The sequence below is a fragment of the Homo sapiens genome, chromosome 12 (genome assembly GCF_000001405.40).
Source record: "Homo sapiens chromosome 12, GRCh38.p14 Primary Assembly".
NCBI lineage: Eukaryota > Metazoa > Chordata > Mammalia > Primates > Hominidae > Homo > Homo sapiens.
The window spans coordinates 6,512,310-6,531,095 of NC_000012.12; the positions used below are offsets into that span (position 1 = coordinate 6,512,310).

An 18,786-nucleotide genomic window follows, 5' to 3' on the forward strand; every position below is an offset into this window, starting at 1 on the left:
GACAGACAGACAAACAGACAGACAAGCTACTCTAGTAAGACTTCTTTGAGATGGTGACATTTGAGCAAAGACCCAGAGGAGGTGACTGAGAGCTATGAGAATATGTGGAGGAATAGCAAGGGCAGGGAAAAGGAATAGCATATGCAAAGACCTTGAGGAGGGAGCATGTCCAGCACGTACGAGCAATAGCAAGGAGGCCAGAGAGCTGACAGCTGAGAGCAGGTACGAGGGTTAGGCCGTGAGGCCATGGGAGCAGTGGGGAGCCAGACCGCAGGTTCTTGTGGGCCATCATGGTGACTTTGGCATTTCCTCAGAATGAAGTGGAGCCACTGGGGAGCCACAAGCAGGGAGGTGAGGTGACCTGACTTGTACTTCAACAGGGCCATCCTAGCTGTTGTATTGAAATCGACTATGGAGGGAAAGGGGAAGCAAGAGACCAGTTAAGAGGCTGTTCCAATAACTCAAGCAAGAGATGATGGTCTCTTAGACCAAGGCGTGGCAGTGGAGATGGGGAGAAGTAGTTGGATTCTATACTTTTTCCTTAAGGTAGAGCTTACAGGATTTGCTAACAGACTGGGTGTGAGGTGGGAGGGAGAGTTCAGTCAAGGATGACTCTCCCGGGTTTTGGTCTGAGCATTTGGAAGACTGGAGTTAATGGTAACTGAGATAGGGAGAAGGCTGTGAATAGGTGTTTTGGGAGGAAGATCAGATGTTCTGTTTTGGACATACAAAGTTTGAGGTGTTTATTAGCCACGTAAAGTCAGATTTGGACGTTGAATATATAGATCTGGAGTTCAGGAGAGAGGTCTGAGCTAGAGATAACACATTTGGGAATATAATAGTATTCAGAGCCGTGAGACTGAATGAAATTACCAAATCAGTAAGTGTAGCTAAAAGAGCAGGAATCCAAGGACTGGTACCCTAGGGCACTCCAGCATTAAGAGTGAGGATGCCGGGTGCATGGCTCACGCCTATAATCCTAGCACTTTGGGAGGCTGAGGCAGGAGGATCACTTGAGCCCAGGAGTTTGAGATCAGCCTGGACAACATAGTGAAACTGTGTCTCTACAAAAAATAGAAAAATTAGCTGGGCATGGTGGAGGCTGAGGTGGGAGCATCACCTGAGCTATGAGGAGGTCAAGGATGCAGTGAGCCGTGATTGCACCACTGCACTCCAGCCTGGGCAACAGAGGCAGACCCTGTCTCAAAAAAAAGAGTCTGAGGAGGAACTAGCCAAAGAAACTGAGAAAGGAGTCTTGTTCTTGTGTCCTGGAAGCGAGATAAAGCATATATTTCAAGGAGAAAGTGAGTGATTAACTGTATCACATGCAGCTGTGAAAGACCACTTGAGATGCAGATTGAATCAGTCGTTATATTTAGGAATGAGAAGTCATTGGTGACTTTGTCTTTTTTTTTTTTTTTTTTGTGATGGAGTCTCGCAATGTCGCCTGGCCTGGAGTGCAGTGGCATGATATCAGCTCACTGCAACCTCCACCTCCCAGGTTCAAGGGATTCTCCTGCCTCAGCCTCCCAAGTAGCTGGGATTACAGGCGCCCACCACCACACCCAGCTAATTTTTTGTATTTTTAGTAGAGACAGGGTTTCACTATGTTGGCCAAGCTGGTCTTGAATGCCTGACCTCGTGATCCACCTGCCTCGGCCTCCCAAAGTGCTGGGATTACAGGCATGAGCCACCACACCCGGCCAACTCTATCATATTTTTATGATATATTTAGGTTCTTTGTCAGCATCACAACTGGTTGAAAGTTGGTAATCTTGAAGGAAGGAGTACCTAACTGGGGTCAGCAAAGCAAAGCAACTTGTTATAGAAAGTAATGGCTAGAATAAAGAAAACCCTGACTTTGGGAGCAGTAGGGATAGAATGAATGAGGCAGGGCTCTGATACAATTGGATTCAGACAGCTGCTTTCATCATCTCAAACTCTTCCTTTCTCAGTTTGGTTACTGGCTGTTGCTACCGCCTTCTGGAGAATCCCACCATTAATCACCAGAAGAACCGCCCCACTCGGGAAGCCATAACACACCTGCTTGGTGTAGCCTTGACCCGTTATAACCATATGCTCAGTAAGTTACCAGTCGCTTTGCCCCGCCTTTTTTGTATTGCCCATAATTTCTCATGTTTAATGCTTCCACAGGTGCTACAGTGAAGATCATCCAGATGCTGCAGCACTTTGAACACCTGGCACCTGTACTGGTTGCAGCCGTGAGTCTATGGGCAACTGACTATGGAATGAAGAGCATAGTGGGAGAGATTGTAAGGTGACTCTTCCTTCTCGAAGTTTCTCATGCTTATTTTCCTTGGGGAGGGAATAAAGAAAGATTGGAAATACATTATCTGTGCAACAGTAGATTCCTTCAGATATTAGATACCTGTCTTACCTTCCCTTACTGGGAACTGAATAATTGATCTATGTTGCTATGGCTGTGTTTTCTTCCCTGTGTAGAGAGATTGGACAAAAGTGTCCCCAAGAGCTGAGTCGAGACCCTTCAGGGACAAAGGGCTTTGCAGCATTCCTGACAGAACTAGCAGAACGTGTCCCAGCTATCCTGATGTCCAGCATGTGCATTTTGCTAGATCACCTGGATGGAGAAGTAGGTGGTCCACTAGGGGTCACTGAGCTTTTTCTGGGGATTTTAAGTCCAGTGTTGAAAGGCTGTTTCTTAACAGAACAAGAAAGTAGCTTTGACAAGTTGTCTAGATTTATCATTGTGACATTTCCTTTCTGTAGAGAAGCAGGTCAAGTTTGTTGAATAAGGAGCTCTTTATTAATCTGTTAATCTTTCAATTCACATTGCTTTTATCCAGTTCTGGTAAGGGAGATGACATTTCTGCAGCTTAAGTCTAGTAAGAGCAACTCAGCTTTGATTTTTTTTTTTTCTTGGAGGTAGGATCTGGCTCTGTCACCCATGCTGGAGCATGATCATAGCTCATTGCAGCCTCGATCTCCTGGGCTCAAGCAATCCTCCCACCTCAGCCTCCCAAGTAGCTGGGACTTCAGGCACATACTACCATGCCTGGCTAATTTTTTTAGTTTTTGTAGAGGTGGGGTCTTGCCATATTGCCCAGGCTAGTCTCAAACTCCTGGTCTCAAGCAACCCTCCTGCCTCAGCCTCCCAAAGTGCTGGGATTGCAGGCGCTACCATGCTTAGCCTTCAGCTTTGATTCTGAGTCCCATCTGTTCCTCAGGATAAAGCGTCTTCCCACCAGCTGGCTTGCCTTGCTTCCTCAAACAATGAACTTTCTCAAATCAACCCATGTCATCTCTCTCAATTCTCTTTTATGCCTGAATGCTAACCTGGCTGATTCCCATACTGATGTTGGGCACTCCTAGGTGAATGTCAAGGACAAAGACAGTCCACTTGTTCATCTCATTTACTTTAACTTTTTGTGCAAGACCCTATTCTCTGGTTCTTAGCCTGGCAAAACCTTAACCCTGCTCTCCACTAGATTATGTATTGGACTTGCTGGCACTCTTAAGGCTGATTTCCATGTTTCTGTCTCATTTTCTGTCAGTAAAGCATCTGAAGGAGAGTGGGAGGGAAAGGAGGGGATATTTATTAGTAAGGATTAAAGACTTTGAGGCCAGGTGTGGTGGCTCACGCCTGTAATCCCAGCACTTTGGGAGGCTGAGGTGAGTGGATCACTTGAGGTCAAGAGTTTAAGACTAGCCTGGCCAACATGGTGAAATCCCATCTCTACTAAAAATACAAAAAAAAATTAGCTGGGTGTGGTGGCGCGCACCTGTAATCCTAGCTACTCGGGAGGCTGAAGTGGGAGGGTTGCTTGAACCTGGGAAATGGAGGTTACAGTGAGCCGAGATCGCACCACTGCACTCCAACCTGGGTGACAAAACGAGACTCTGTCTCAAAAAAAAAACCAAAAAAAACCACACAGACGGGCGCGGTGGCTCACGCCTATAATCTCAGCACTTTGGGAGGCCGAGGAGGGTGGATCACGAGGTCAGGAGTTTGAGACCAGCCTGGCCAATATGGTGAAATCCTGTCTCTACTAAAAATACAAAAATTAGCTGGGTGTGGTGGCGGGCACCTGTAATCCCAGCTGCTTGGGAGGCTGAGGCAGGAGAATCACTTGAACCCGGGAGTCAGAGGTTGCAGTGAGCCGAGATGGCGCCACAGCACTCCAGCCTGGGCAACAGAGCAAGACTCCGTCTCAAAAACAAACAAACAACCACAATAACAAAGGCTTTGAGACCTCAGCTGAAGGGTAGTTAATAAATGCTTTTCAAATGTGTGTTGGTGAGTGGATGTGATTTTTTTATTCAGCTACTACCATGCTTTCCTGTGTGAGCCCTATGAGGAAAAATTGGTTTTGGCCCTTGTTCTAGCATTCTCTGAGCAACAAGTCCTCTTTGGGATTCAGCTTTCTCCTGTGACCTTGGGAGTGAATACCTAGGCAGTTAATGGAAAAAGTTATGGCCAAGCACAAGCAAGCTTCGCCTTGACTAAAGGTTTGACCCCTCTATGCTTCTCTCTCTTAGAATTACATGATGCGTAATGCTGTGCTGGCAGCCATGGCGGAGATGGTGCTGCAGGTTCTCAGTGGCGATCAACTGGAAGCAGCAGCCCGAGACACCAGAGACCAGTTCTTGGATACTTTACAAGCCCATGGCCATGATGTCAACTCCTTTGTGCGGAGCCGTGTTTTGCAGCTCTTCACCCGAATTGTCCAGCAGAAGGTAACCAACTTCTATGTGGCAAAAACATATGGTACCTCTCCATATACCAGTGTAAAGAGGAATCCAGTGTTGAAGATAAATATCTGCCCCAAAGAGGTCTAGAATTCACATTTTTATTATCAGTAGTAAAAGTCTTCCTCTACCAAGGACGAGGATATCTGGCTCCCTTTAAGGACTGTAATGTGTCTTACCACTACAAGGAGTACTCCTAATCTATATTCTGTAGAAAGGGTTTTTAGAGTGAGTGGGTAGCTCAGTTTAGAGTATACTTAAAGATCATCTTGAACAAAATGGATGATGTGGGACTTGAGCAGATTCTTCTCTTCCTACCCTACACAGGCTCTCCCCCTGACACGTTTCCAGGCAGTGGTGGCTTTAGCTGTGGGACGTCTGGCAGACAAGTCAGTGCTAGTATGTAAAAATGCCATCCAGCTGCTGGCCAGTTTTCTAGCCAATAATCCTTTCTCCTGCAAGGTAAGTAGACTTGGTCCACCAAAAGAGAAGGAATTAAATGGAAACAGGGATGAAATTATGTCATTTACTGACCCTGCTATTCATTTTACCTGATAGCTTAGTGATGCTGACCTTGCCGGACCACTGCAGAAGGAGACCCAGAAATTACAAGAGATGAGGGCCCAGAGGCGAACTGCAGCAGCTTGTAAGTAGTTACTGCCTTGGAGTCCTAATGCCAGACAGGCTTCTCCTTGCAGTCAGAAACTCTAGTGAAAGAGACTAAGTGACACTCTCATTTAGCTGCAGTGCTGGACCCAGAGGAGGAGTGGGAAGCCATGCTGCCAGAGTTGAAGTCTACCCTGCAGCAGCTTCTACAGCTTCCCCAGGGAGAGGAGGAGATTCCTGAGCAAATTGCCAATACAGAGACAACTGAAGATGTGAAAGGACGCATCTATCAACTGCTTGCCAAAGCTAGTTACAAGTAGGCAAAAGAATGGGATATTCTTCGTGATCTGTTTATGTTTAGAGTTAACCTTTGAGAAACTTACATAATGTGTCTTTTAAATTAACTGCACACAGATATGCTGCCACCAGGTGATGGTAGATGTTTTCATGTAGTAATGGTCTGACCATAGGCCTAGTCCACAATTAAGCATGTGTTTCTACTTTATAAATGTTTAAAAAAACTACTGAAACAATTAAATGTTAACAGTATTATAATCAAACATGAGTCCTCCTTCAATTGAAGAAGAGCACCTATAAATAAGTTCTAGTTGTATGATCTTGAATAAGTTGCTTAACTTTCTGTGCCTCGGTTTCATTATCTATAAAATAAGAAATTGATTAGATCTTATGATCTCTAAGGACTTTCTAATTCTAAATTTCATGAACTAATAATATCAAACATGCTTAATACTACCTTAATCTTCAAACCTAGTATGAATCCTGATCTTAGAGAAAAGATTTCTCCTAGTGTTTTTGTGACTCTAGAACTTAACAACAAAAGCCCTTACAGCCGTCAACAAGTTTTTTTTTTTTTTTTTTTTTTTTTTTTTTGAGATGGAGTCTCACTCACTCTGTTGCCCAGGCTGCAGTACAGTGACACGATCTTGGCTCACTGCAACCTCTGCCTCCCAGGTTCAAGCAATTCTCGTGCCTCAGCCTCCCAAGTAGCTGGGACCACAGGCGCGCACCACCACACCGCACTAATTTTTTTATTTTTAGTAGAGACAGGGTTTCACCATATTGGCCAGGCTGGTCTTGAACTCCTGACCTCAGGTGATCCACCCATCTCAGCCTCCCAAAGTGCCATGATTACAGGCGTGAGCCACCGCACTCGGCTGCCAACAAGTATTCTTAAACCTCAGCCACAAGTTATTTGTTATTTATTTACTTCTTACCTAATTGGGCTGAATTTTTTTTTTGGAGACGGAGTCTTGCTCTGTTGCCCAGGCTGGAGTGCAGTGGTGCGATCTTGGCTCACTGCAACCTCCACCTCCTGGGTTCACGCCATTCTCCTGCCTCAGCCTCCCGAGTAGCTGGGACTACAGGCGCCCGCCACCACGCCCGGCTAATTTTTTTTTTTATATTTTTAGTAGAGACGGGGTTTCACCGTGTTAGCCAGGATGGTCTCAATCTCCTGACCTCGTGATCCGCCTGCCTCGGCCTCCCAAAGTGCTGGGATTACAGGCTTGAGCCACCGTGCCCGGCTTGGGCTGTTTTTAGAAGGCTAGAGAGTGGCTTGTTTGCCCTATGACTCCCTTATGTTACTTTAGTGTCTCTCTTTTTATTTTGCTAAAGCAAAAATAGAGACTATAGTTTTATAAGTGCATGTTCCACCAAGCATTCTAGTATTTTCTCCTGTCAATTAGAAAAGGATTGTTTGTTTTTGAGACAGAATCTCACTGTTGCCCAGGCTGGAGTACAGTAGCGCAATCACAGCTCACTGCAGCCTCTCACTGTAGCCTCAACCCTGCTGGGCTCAAGCGATCTCCCACATTAGCCTCCTGAGTAGCCTGGTTAATTTATTTATAATTTGTAGCTGGGATTACAGGTACACACCACCAGGCCTGGCCTTTGCCAGCCTGGGCAACGTGGCAAGAAGATAACATGTAGACAAGCAGTCAAACATGTATTCTTTTTTTCCCCCTTTTATATGACTGATAGAATTCTCTGCCCACTGATCTACCATCTTGTTTTTTTCACTTAACTATGTGTCTCAGTGGTTTTTAAAAATATTTATGGCTGGGTGCAATGGCTCATGCCTGTAATCCCAGCTACTTGGGAGGCTGAGGCAGGAGAATTGCTTGAACCCAGGAAGCAGAGGTTGCAGTGAGCTGAGATTGCTCCGCTACACTCTACCCTGGGTGACAGAGGAAGAGTCCATCTCAAAAAAAAAAAAAAATTTATAGATGGCCAGGTGCAGTGGCTCACACCTGTAATCCCAGCACCTTGGGAGCCCAAAGCTGGTGGATCTCTTGAGGCCAGGAGTTTGAGGCCAGCCTGGCCAACGTGGCGAAATGGCGAAACCCATCTCTGCTAAAATTACAAAAATTGGCCAGGTATGGTGGCACGTACCTGTAATCCTAGCTATTTGGGGAGCTGAGGCATGAGAATCACTCAAACCTAGGAAGCAGAGGTTATAGTGAGCCAAGATCATGCCACTACACTTCAGCCTGGGTGACAGAACAAGACTCTGTCTCTAAAAAAAAAAATATATATATATATATACACATATATATTTATACATAAATAGTTTCCCACTCTCCTCTTTTTTTGAGAGAGAGAGTGTCTCACTCTTTTGCCCATGCTGGAGTACAGTGGTATGATCACAACTCACTGCAGCTTTGATCTCCCAGGCTCAAGTGATCCTCCCACCTCAGCTCCCTCGAGTAGCTGAGACCACAGGCACACACCATTACACCCACAGGCACACACCATCACACCCACAGGCACACACCATCACACCCACAGGCATACACCATCACACCCACAGGCACACACCATCACACCCGGCTAACTTTTTTTACTTTTTGTATAGTTGGGTCTCCCTGTGTTGCCCAGACTGATCTCAAATTCCTGGGCTCACGTGTCCCCATTATTTTTTATGACTACATAGAATCTTATTGTCTGGATGTGCCTGAATTAACTAATTATTGAAAGTTTATTGTTTCTAAACTTAGGAAAGTTTTTAAACAGGTGTTTGGAGTAGGTTTATGATTTTAAAACTTTAAAAAGCCTTATTGGAGTTTTTTTGAAGACTGTAGTAATGCCTTGTAGGTTCAGAAATAGGAAAAGTGTTTGCAGATGAGCAGTCAGGGGAAAAAAATAGGCAAAGTGTTTTGAGCCCTACCCCTTAGTAGGTGCTGTAACAACTTTTTAAGCATGTTAAGTGCTCCTTTTCTCTGGGCAGTAGGTCCAGGGACTTGATAGAATCATGAGGTAAGCTCCCTTACAAACGGCTGCAGTGACATTCTTCTGGGTACTGACAGGCTGGTGTTCTTTCAGAAAGGCCATCATTCTCACTCGAGAAGCCACAGGCCACTTCCAGGAGTCCGAACCCTTCAGTCATATAGACCCAGAGGAGTCAGAGGAGACCAGGCTCTTGAATATCTTAGGACTTATCTTCAAAGGTAATCATTTTCCTTCTTCAGTCAATAAATAACACATGTCAACTGGTATTTACTGAGCATTAACTTTATGCCATCATTGGCCTGGTTAACAGAACCTGGTGCTGAAGAGCCCAGAGATGAATTGGCATTACTTTTGCTCTGGAATGGAAGCAGCCCACGGGCCTAAGATTGATAGTCACAGGGTGACTGTCCAGACCATAGCGGTCTTTAGGTATGGTTTTTGAGAAATTTAGATATTTTAGAGTAAGTTTTAATTTCATATCTTCACATTGTGAAAAGAGATATCCAGGGCCAGATGTCGTGGCTTATGCCTGTAATCCTAACACTTTGGGAGGCCAAGGCAGGAGGATTGCTTGAGCCCAGGAGTTGAAAATCAGCCTGAGCAACATGACGAAACCCCCATCTCTACAAGGGATACCAAAAAAAAATTAGCCAGGTGCGGTGGCACGCACCTGTAGTCCCAACTGCTCAGGAGCTGAAGTGAGAGAATCACCTTAGCCCGGGGAAGTTGAGGCTGCAGTGAGCGGTGATCATTGCCACTGCACAGCCTAGGCAACAGAGTGAGACCCCATCTCAAAAGAAAAGAAGAAGGAAAATAAATAAGTAAATATCCAGGAATGTTGACAGCTGTTGGATTCCCCTGTATCCCCTTGAACGAAACCATCCTGTACTTCTCTAACTCCTTAGGCCCAGCAGCTTCCACACAAGAAAAGAATCCCCGGGAGTCTACAGGAAACATGGTCACAGGACAGACTGTCTGTAAAAATAAACCCAATATGTCGGATCCTGAGGAATCCAGGGGAAATGATGAACTAGTGAAGCAGGAGATGCTGGTACAGTATCTGCAGGATGCCTACAGCTTCTCCCGGAAGATTACAGAGGCCATTGGCATCATCAGCAAGATGATGTATGAAAACACAACTACAGGTATGCCAGAGTCCCTTTCTATAAGGACAGCCTTGGGGTTCTTTTGGATTTTTTAATTTTTTAAATTTTTATTAACAATAGAGATGGGGCCTTCCTTTGTTGCTCAGGCTGGTCTCCAACTCCTGGGCTCAGGCAATTCTTCTGCGTCAGCCTCCCAAAGTGCTGGTATTACAGGTGTGAGCCACTGCACCCGGCCATGGATCTTGGAGTTCTTTTCCATATTTTATTGATATATCTATCTGCTCCTTTAAAAGGCAGGGGTTCTCGGCTGGGCGCGATGGCTCATGCCTGTAATCCCTACAAAACTGGGAGGCCAAAGCAGGAAGACAGGTTGAGGCCAGGAGTTCGAGAGCAGCCTGGGCAACATAGCAAGACCCCATCTCTACAAAGAAACAAAAACTAACTGGGCGTGATGGCACGCACCTGTAGTTCCAGCTACTCGGAAGGCTGGGCAGGAGGATTGCTTGAGCCCGGGAGTTTGAGGCTACAGTGAGCTGTGGTCATGCCACTGCACTCTAGCCGGAGCAACAGAATAAGAACCTGTGTCTTAAGAAAAGAAAAAAAAAAGGCAGGGGTTCTTTTTTTCTGTTTGCTTCCTCTAGCCACTTACAGCTTATACATTTTAATGCATATAGTATTTCATGATAAGGCATCATAGGAGGAGTCGACATTCTCAGGGAAAATGCGGAAGGCCTCCATTTGCATCTTGCTACATTCAGAAAGGTTCTGTCGTTAGGTATTGGGGGAGTTTTGTGAAGTAGATAGGTGACATTTGTACATGTTCTCTCAGTGGTGCAGGAGGTGATTGAATTCTTTGTGATGGTCTTCCAATTTGGGGTACCCCAGGCCCTGTTTGGGGTGCGCCGTATGCTGCCTCTCATCTGGTCTAAGGAGCCTGGTGTCCGGGAAGCCGTGCTTAATGCCTACCGCCAACTCTACCTCAACCCCAAAGGGGACTCTGCCAGGTATATGGGGTGCTTTTGCCTTTGCTGACTTTTCCAAGGTCAGCTTCTCACAGGACTTCCCTTGTCTCCTAAAGGAAGAGGTGCATTTCTCCAGGGGAGTTCCAGATCCATAGGCAGTCCATCATAGTGGGGCTTAGGGTGGGGCTCGGTTTCCAGGGAGAGCAGTTTTGTAGCACTGTGGTGGGATAGCCCTAATCACTGTTTGCCAAGTTCAGCTTCCCAATCTTATAGTGACCGCTGATCTCTGCTGTTCCCACAGAGCCAAGGCCCAGGCTTTGATTCAGAATCTCTCTCTGCTGCTAGTGGATGCCTCGGTTGGGACCATTCAGTGTCTTGAGGAAATTGTAAGGCTTCCTGCTTTCTCTTTCTTTATTCATTCAACAAGTATTTTGGTTGTTTTTTTTTTTTTTTTTGAGACGGAGTCATGCCCCATTGCCCAGGCTGGAGTGCAATGGCACAATCTTGGCTCACTGCAACCTCCGCCTCCCAGGTTCAAGCAATTCTCCTGCCTCAGCCTCCCGAGTAACTGGAATTACATGCATGTGCCACCATGCCCGACTAGTTTTTTGTATCTTTAGTAGAGACGGGGTTTCACCATGTTGGCCGAGCTGGTCTCGAACCCTTGACCTCGTGATCCACCCGCCTCAACCTCCCAGAGTGCTGGGATTACAGGCGTGAGCCAAAGCGCCCGGCAACAAGTATTATTGAGTTATTACTATGTATTTAGCAATTTACTTAGCTCCAGAAAGAAGTATAAGACTATTTGCTTTCATGTTCCCAACTTTAAAGGAACCAACAGTCTAGTTGGTAGTGAAAAACCACAGAACATTTTTAGAACAATGCAGCAGGTAGATAATAAAGTGCCAGAATGAGTTGTACGGGTAATGGTTGTCATAGCAATAATAACAACCTCACTTATATGGTATTGAATATATGACAGGCACTCACACGTTACTCACAGTAACTTGTTTAATCCTCACGACAGCCCTGTGAGGTAGCATTATCTGCATTTTACAATGAGAAATCTGAGGCACAGAGAAGTTACTGAACTTGGCTGGTTACAGCTAGTTAGTGGCAAAGTTTGAGATTCAAACTCAGGCAATAAGAGCTCTAGAAAACATACTCTTAACTTCTGTGTTCTACTGAGGGATACAGAGTAGGAAAGAGAGCGGTTTGGGGTAGAATGGTCAAGGAAGCTTCCTGAAGGTGGTAGGACTTAAGCTGGGTCTTGAAAGATGAGTAGGATTTAGAGAATCAGAGCAAGGAGGGAGGGCATTTCAAACAGAACCCAAGAAAGAGCACAGTTCACATTGTAGAACAAAGAAGACTGTGTTCTGGTTCAAATTATCTGGAAAAGACCAGGCGCGATGGCTCACGTCTGTAATCCCAGCACTTTGGGAGGCCAAGGCAGCAGATTACCTGAGGTCTGAGGTCAGGAGTTCGAGACCAGCCTGGTCAACATGGCGAAACCCCACCTTTACTAAAAATACAAAAAAATTAGCCAGGTGTGGTGGTGGGCACCTGTAGTCCCAGCTACTTGGGAGGCTGAGGCAGGACAGTTGCTTGAACCCAGGAGGTGGAGGTAGCAGTGAGCCGAGATTGCGCCACTGCACTCCAGCCTGGGCGACAGAGGGAGACTCTGTCTCAAAAAAAAAAAAAAAAAAAAAAATCTGGAAAAGATAATAAAGTTGTGAATGTAGGTTGGAACTAAACTGTGGAAGTCCCTGAATGACTTCAGGAGTCTAGGACTTTAACTGTGTTAGCCAGGCACCCAGCATTTTAGTGAGACATTCTGCTTTGTAGCATTTGCATTGCGGGCACAGAGAGTGGAGGTGGCGCTGGGAAGCGTGCTCCTGCCAGCCACATTTTTCTCCTCACTGGGGAAAAGAAAAGAGCCTGGTGGTGGTGATTGGCCATGATGTCATAGGTCAGTTACCGGCAAAAGCCCTACAAGAGGCAGGGGAGAGCACCTGCAAACTGGGGTGCAACAGAAGGGACGTGGGGAAGCAGAGGCTGAGGAGACCAACCCATGGGAAGGAAGGCCCGTGGAGGCTGCTGCAGTGGGCAGTAACGAGGGGCTGGACTTGAGGATTGGAGAAATCACTGCAGAATGGGCTTAATGGAAGACAAATTTTTAAAGGAAAAATAGTGACTGATTTGTAAAAAAATTAGATGACCGAAATTTTAAGCACATATTACTGATAGAGTGTTGATACCACTGGCAAAATGAAAAGGCAAGGAAGGATGATGGCTTCCATGTTGGACATGTTGAGTTTGTGGTAACGGCAAGAAAACCTGTTAGAAATCTCCAGACTTAGAACTATGGACCCACGTGGAACTCAAAAGGTCAGTTTCGATATGTCACTTGAATAAAATAGTTTTGAAGGCATGAGAGTAGAAAAGTAGAGAATGGAAAGCCTCTCAAGACCCTGCTGTACATTTTGAACCTCCTCTTTTCTTTTTCTCTTCCTAAGTATTACTTTTGTCTACTTCAGGTTCGCAATATCATCTTCAGAAAAGCAGACCAAAGATCAAGGAATTGTTCATTTTTGGCTTGAGCCCTTTTTCTTTTCTCTTTAGCTCTGTGAGTTTGTGCAGAAGGATGAGTTGAAACCAGCAGTGACCCAGCTGCTGTGGGAGCGGGCCACCGAGAAGGTCGCCTGCTGTCCTCTGGAGCGCTGTTCCTCTGTCATGCTTCTTGGCATGATGGCACGGTGAGGCTCAAATCTAGCAGGCAATGGGGTGGGAGAGCAAAGGAAGGTTCTGAGAGGGCTCCTTTTCCTTCAGTGACATTGTCACAGTGAGGCCCAACTGAGCTCTGCTGTGAGTTATAACGCCACCTAAATGGAAAAGCAAATAGTGAGAGGACCAGCCCTCCTGCCTAGTAGTAGTGGGATTCAGTAAAGCAACAGGACCCAAGAGGCTGGCCCTGCGGCAGAGCCACGCTATAGTGCTCCACGGCTCTAGACACCACATGAGGTGCTGGTACCTACCCCTATTGGCCCTTTCTCCCCCGATGAGTCCAATCCATGACTGCCTTTAACTCTGTGGCTTCCTTCCCCTAGAGGAAAGCCAGAAATTGTGGGAAGCAATTTAGACACACTGGTGAGCATAGGGCTGGATGAGAAGTTTCCACAGGACTACAGGCTGGCCCAGCAGGTGTGCCATGCCATTGCCAACATCTCGGACAGGAGAAAGGTATGTGGGGGTGGTTCCAAACTAAGGAGAGTGGAGATTCTCGTGTCCACCCTGTACACACACCCACGTTGTCTTGCTCTCCACAGCCTTCTCTGGGCAAACGTCACCCCCCCTTCCGGCTGCCTCAGGAACACAGGTTGTTTGAGCGACTGCGGGAGACAGTCACAAAAGGTGAGCTCTCAGGGAAGGCCTTGGGCAGAATTGGGCCCTTTGTTGCAGTAAACAACTTCTCCCTCCTCCTCTGCAGGCTTTGTCCACCCAGACCCACTCTGGATCCCATTCAAAGAGGTGGCAGTGACCCTCATTTACCAACTGGCAGAGGGCCCCGAAGTGATCTGTGCCCAGATATTGCAGGGCTGTGCAAAACAGGCCCTGGAGAAGCTAGAAGAGAAGAGAACCAGTCAGGAGGACCCGAGTAAGTGGGCAGGGGTTGACCCACTGCGGCAGCCAGCTTCTGTTCTCCCTGCAGGGCCAGGAGCCACTGCCACCACCACTATCTGCAACAACCCTTAGTGTACACTGTGTCGTTTTTGTCTAAGTTGAAGTTGGGCCAGTTCCCACCCCCAACTCTTACTACTTCACTAGTTTGAATAGCACGTGAGCAAGGGGAAGATCAGTAAAAATCGGATTCAGGTTTGATGGGACTTAAAAATGTCTCTTTGCCCCACCTTCCCTCTCCCTCTCCTCCAGAGGAGTCCCCCGCAATGCTCCCCACTTTCCTGTTGATGAACCTGCTGTCCCTGGCTGGGGATGTGGCTCTGCAGCAGCTGGTCCACTTGGAGCAGGCAGTGAGTGGAGAGCTCTGCCGGCGCCGAGTTCTCCGGGAAGAACAGGAGCACAAGACCAAAGATCCCAAGGAGAAGGTGTGTGAATGTCCTCAGCACTTCCCAGATTTATTTCATACCTCAGCTCAGAACTGAGCTGATCCCCTTCCGGCAATCTCTGCTCCTCTGCTATTACATGAAGCGAAGAGTTTCTGCCTCTCTGTGGCTACTACCGTAGGAAAGGTTCGTGTGAACAATGACGAAACTGTCAGTGATCACCCAGGAAGGAAAGATTTAGGTAAATGCAGAGTGTGGAGTTAGAGACCTCAGCATAAAACAGAGGCTTTGTGTCTGAGGCAGGGTTTGTTAGAACACGCACGTACCCGCCGGCCTTTTCCATCAGCTTCCATTGCTGGCCTGGCCCCGGATGGGGCCCTGTGTTCCCTCCACTAGAGGCAATGATGTCTTGCAGACAAATAAGACACAGAGCCTTGCAGCGCTGGAGAAAAGTCTGACCTCTGTGACTTTGAACCATTGTCTGGCGTGATCCATCTGTTTACCATATATAGGAAACGATGTCTTCCATGAGGAAGAGGTGCAGAAACACGCTTTGGCAACTTAAAACAAATGGGGACCTCATTGTTCCCCTGCTTAATTCAGGAATCCTTTCTCTTTACAGACACATTTGACAATTCTCTAAATGTTTTTGTAGAATTTGCCCTTCCTCACTTTGTTCATGCAAAACAAAGTATGGGCTGGAATCAAAAATGTTGTCTCTGCTTATCCATGATCCCCAATTTCATTCCCTTTAGAATACGAGCTCTGAGACCACCATGGAGGAGGAGCTGGGGCTGGTTGGGGCAACAGCAGATGACACAGAGGCAGAACTAATCCGTGGCATCTGCGAGATGGAACTGTTGGATGGTAAGAAAAATGGCTGCACTCAGCAGTTTCTTCCCAATTAAGATAACCTGTCCCAAACCTGCAGTTACTCTTCCAACAGGCAAACAGACACTGGCTGCCTTTGTTCCACTCTTGCTTAAAGTCTGTAACAACCCAGGCCTCTATAGCAACCCAGACCTCTCTGCAGCTGCTTCACTTGCCCTTGGCAAGTTCTGCATGATCAGGTAGGCCGTGGGGTTGGTACCCCCTTCTCAAGGAAGATGGGGATGAAATGGCTTCCCTAATGATCCTCTTCTTGCTCTTAGTGCCACTTTCTGCGACTCCCAGCTTCGTCTTCTGTTCACCATGCTGGAAAAGTCTCCACTTCCCATTGTCCGGTCTAACCTCATGGTTGCCACTGGGGATCTGGCCATCCGCTTTCCCAATCTGGTGGACCCCTGGACTCCTCATCTGTATGCTCGGTAAGAGACCCCTCACAACGTGGTGGCAGTTCCCAGGAGCCCCGGAGTCTGTTGAGAGTCAGTGTGAGAATCACCAGGGCTCTTCCCCTAGGCTTTGGCATCACCGCGAACATCTGCTTGATACTTGACCTGTACAGGCCCCTGGCTAAGAGTCACCCCAGTGGGACTGACACTTCTGGTTAGAAGCTTCACCTCTTTCCCCCACTCCAGCTTTCAACTCTAGACAGCTTTCTGACTGCTTCTGGAGTGGCAGAGCATGGGATAATTGATTCCTGCTGAGGGCCTTTTCTACCAGTGTTAGGGTGTAGCCCGGAGGTCTCGGTCCCCATGACCCGCAATTCCATTCCTAGTCTCCGGGACCCTGCTCAGCAAGTGCGGAAAACAGCGGGGCTGGTGATGACCCACCTGATCCTCAAGGACATGGTGAAGGTGAAGGGGCAGGTCAGCGAGATGGCGGTGCTGCTCATCGACCCCGAGCCTCAGATTGCTGCCCTGGCCAAGAACTTCTTCAATGAGCTCTCCCACAAGGTGAGAGGCAGAGAGGCACTGAGGGCTGGCTGCAGAGGGAATCTGTAGGTCACCTCATCTCCTTAACATGGCTCTCTCTGTCTTACAGGGCAACGCAATCTATAATCTCCTTCCAGATATCATCAGCCGCCTGTCAGACCCCGAGCTGGGGGTGGAGGAAGAGCCTTTCCACACCATCATGAAGTATTGCTCCCCGGGCCCTGGGGCACATTTTCCACATAGCACGGGCTTAGGAATCAGACACACCTGTATTTGAATTCCACCTCGGCTACTCTTTAGCTGTACAGCCTTCGGCAATAACTTAGCCTCTCTTTGTGCCTATTTCCTCTTCTTTTGAGGCTGATGATACTTAACCCTTAGTTCTTGAAAATATTAAATACGATAAAGTTCCTAACATGGTGGCAGACATACAGTAGCACTCACTCCCTAGCAGCTGCTCCTGTTAATTTCCATTCACAGTGAAAATTCCTGAGCCGGGGGCGGGGTGGGGTCCCTCTCTGCTGAATGGGACAGGGCAAGGGGAGTGGTGAGGCAGACAGGGGCCGTGGCAGAGAACATCAGAGAAGACGAGTGCTGGGGGAGGGTCCAGGGTTGGTCTTAGTGGATGGCAGAGCTGGCCCTGGGCCATCGAACATCCTCATCTCCCCTTCCTGCAGACAGCTCCTCTCCTACATCACCAAGGACAAGCAGACAGAGAGCCTGGTGGAAAAGCTGTGTCAGCGGTTCCGCACATCCCGGTATGCTGCCCTCCCTGAGGGTTCTTTGTGCTGAGCGGGGCCCTGCAGGGGAGAAAGGCCCATCCCTCACCCCTTCAATGCCCCCACTGTGGCATCCCTGGGACTGGGGAGGCTGATGGGGAAGGTTGAGCCTTTACTAGCTGGATCTCCCAGTTCCTCACAAAGCCCTTCCTATCTGCAGAACTGAGCGGCAGCAGCGAGACCTGGCCTACTGTGTGTCACAGCTGCCCCTCACAGAGCGAGGCCTCCGTAAGATGCTTGACAATTTTGACTGTTTTGGAGACAAACTGTCAGATGAGTCCATCTTCAGTGCTTTTTTGTCAGTTGTAGGCAAGCTGCGACGTGGGGCCAAGCCTGAGGGCAAGGTGAGCAGCACAGGACACTTCAATGCCTGTTGGGTTCTGGGCTGGCTAAGACATCTGCCGGCCCTGGGCAGCATACGGCTCTTGCAGTCACCTTCCCGTCCTCCTTATCCCCAGCTGGGTTGCAACCAAATTGCCAGAGTGACCTAAGACCAGATCTTTGTCTCCAGTTCTTTTTTTATTACTCCAAAAACACAACCAAAGCAGCATCTCATCCAATTCTTGTTTGTTTGTTTTTAATAGTTTTTATTTTTCAGAGCAGTTTTAGGTTCAAAGCAAAATTGAGCAGAAAGTACAGGGAGTTCCCTTCTACCCCTTGCCCCTACACATCACAGCCTTCCCCACCTTCAACATCCTGCACCAGGGTGGCACATTTGTTACAGCTGAACCTACACTTACACATCATCTCCTAAAGTCATGGTTTACCTTGGAGTTCACTGCACGTAATGACATGTACCCACCATTGCAGTATCATACAGAAGAGTTTCACTGCCTTACAAATCCCCTGCACTCCACCTATTTATCCCTCTCTCCCCACAACCCCTGATCTTTTTACTGTTGCCATCACTTTGTCTTTTCCAGAATGTATCATTGGAATGATCCGGTATGGAGCCTTCTCACCTTGGCTTCTTAGTAATGTGCGTTTAAGGCCTCCATGTCTTCCATGGCCTTGTTTCTTTTTAATCAGAAGTAACTGTTTTCAGGCCTGCTCTGAATCTCCTTTTCTCCCTCCAGGCTATAATAGATGAATTTGAGCAGAAGCTTCGGGCCTGTCATACCAGAGGTTTGGATGGAATCAAGGAGCTTGAGATTGGCCAAGCAGGTAGCCAGAGAGCGCCATCAGCCAAGAAACCATCCACTGGTACGTAAGGCAGCCTGTGCGGGCGAGACCAGACTGGGCCCTCCCCTCCTGCAGTGATTTGTTTCTTCTTCTTTTTTAAATCACGTTTTCCTGCCTTTTCTAGGTTCTAGGTACCAGCCTCTGGCTTCTACAGCCTCAGACAATGACTTTGTCACACCAGAGCCCCGCCGTACTACCCGTCGGCATCCAAACACCCAGCAGCGAGCTTCCAAAAAGAAACCCAAAGTTGTCTTCTCAAGTGATGAGTCCAGTGAGGAAGGTATGATGCTCCCGCCTGT

The 18,786-nt window shown here is 47.5% G+C and overlaps 1 protein-coding gene across 1 annotated transcript in view; it reads left to right on the forward strand.

Moving 5' to 3' along the window:
• NCAPD2 (non-SMC condensin I complex subunit D2) overlaps positions 1-18,786 on the forward strand; it is a 37,854-nt gene that overhangs the window by 18,208 nt on the left and 860 nt on the right. Inside the window, exons 7-31 of the mRNA NM_014865.4 lie at positions 1,956-2,083; positions 2,155-2,278; positions 2,464-2,611; positions 4,519-4,716; positions 5,056-5,190; positions 5,287-5,374; positions 5,470-5,650; positions 8,677-8,801; positions 9,489-9,728; positions 10,519-10,693; positions 10,953-11,037; positions 13,274-13,407; positions 13,759-13,891; positions 13,978-14,062; positions 14,139-14,306; positions 14,582-14,754; positions 15,468-15,579; positions 15,659-15,782; positions 15,864-16,019; positions 16,370-16,547; positions 16,636-16,730; positions 17,204-17,284; positions 17,466-17,649; positions 18,382-18,508; positions 18,612-18,767. Coding sequence (NP_055680.3) covers positions 1,956-2,083; positions 2,155-2,278; positions 2,464-2,611; positions 4,519-4,716; positions 5,056-5,190; positions 5,287-5,374; positions 5,470-5,650; positions 8,677-8,801; positions 9,489-9,728; positions 10,519-10,693; positions 10,953-11,037; positions 13,274-13,407; positions 13,759-13,891; positions 13,978-14,062; positions 14,139-14,306; positions 14,582-14,754; positions 15,468-15,579; positions 15,659-15,782; positions 15,864-16,019; positions 16,370-16,547; positions 16,636-16,730; positions 17,204-17,284; positions 17,466-17,649; positions 18,382-18,508; positions 18,612-18,767 — 3,533 coding nt within the window. The remainder of the gene's footprint in view (positions 1-1,955; positions 2,084-2,154; positions 2,279-2,463; positions 2,612-4,518; positions 4,717-5,055; positions 5,191-5,286; positions 5,375-5,469; positions 5,651-8,676; positions 8,802-9,488; positions 9,729-10,518; positions 10,694-10,952; positions 11,038-13,273; positions 13,408-13,758; positions 13,892-13,977; positions 14,063-14,138; positions 14,307-14,581; positions 14,755-15,467; positions 15,580-15,658; positions 15,783-15,863; positions 16,020-16,369; positions 16,548-16,635; positions 16,731-17,203; positions 17,285-17,465; positions 17,650-18,381; positions 18,509-18,611; positions 18,768-18,786) is intronic.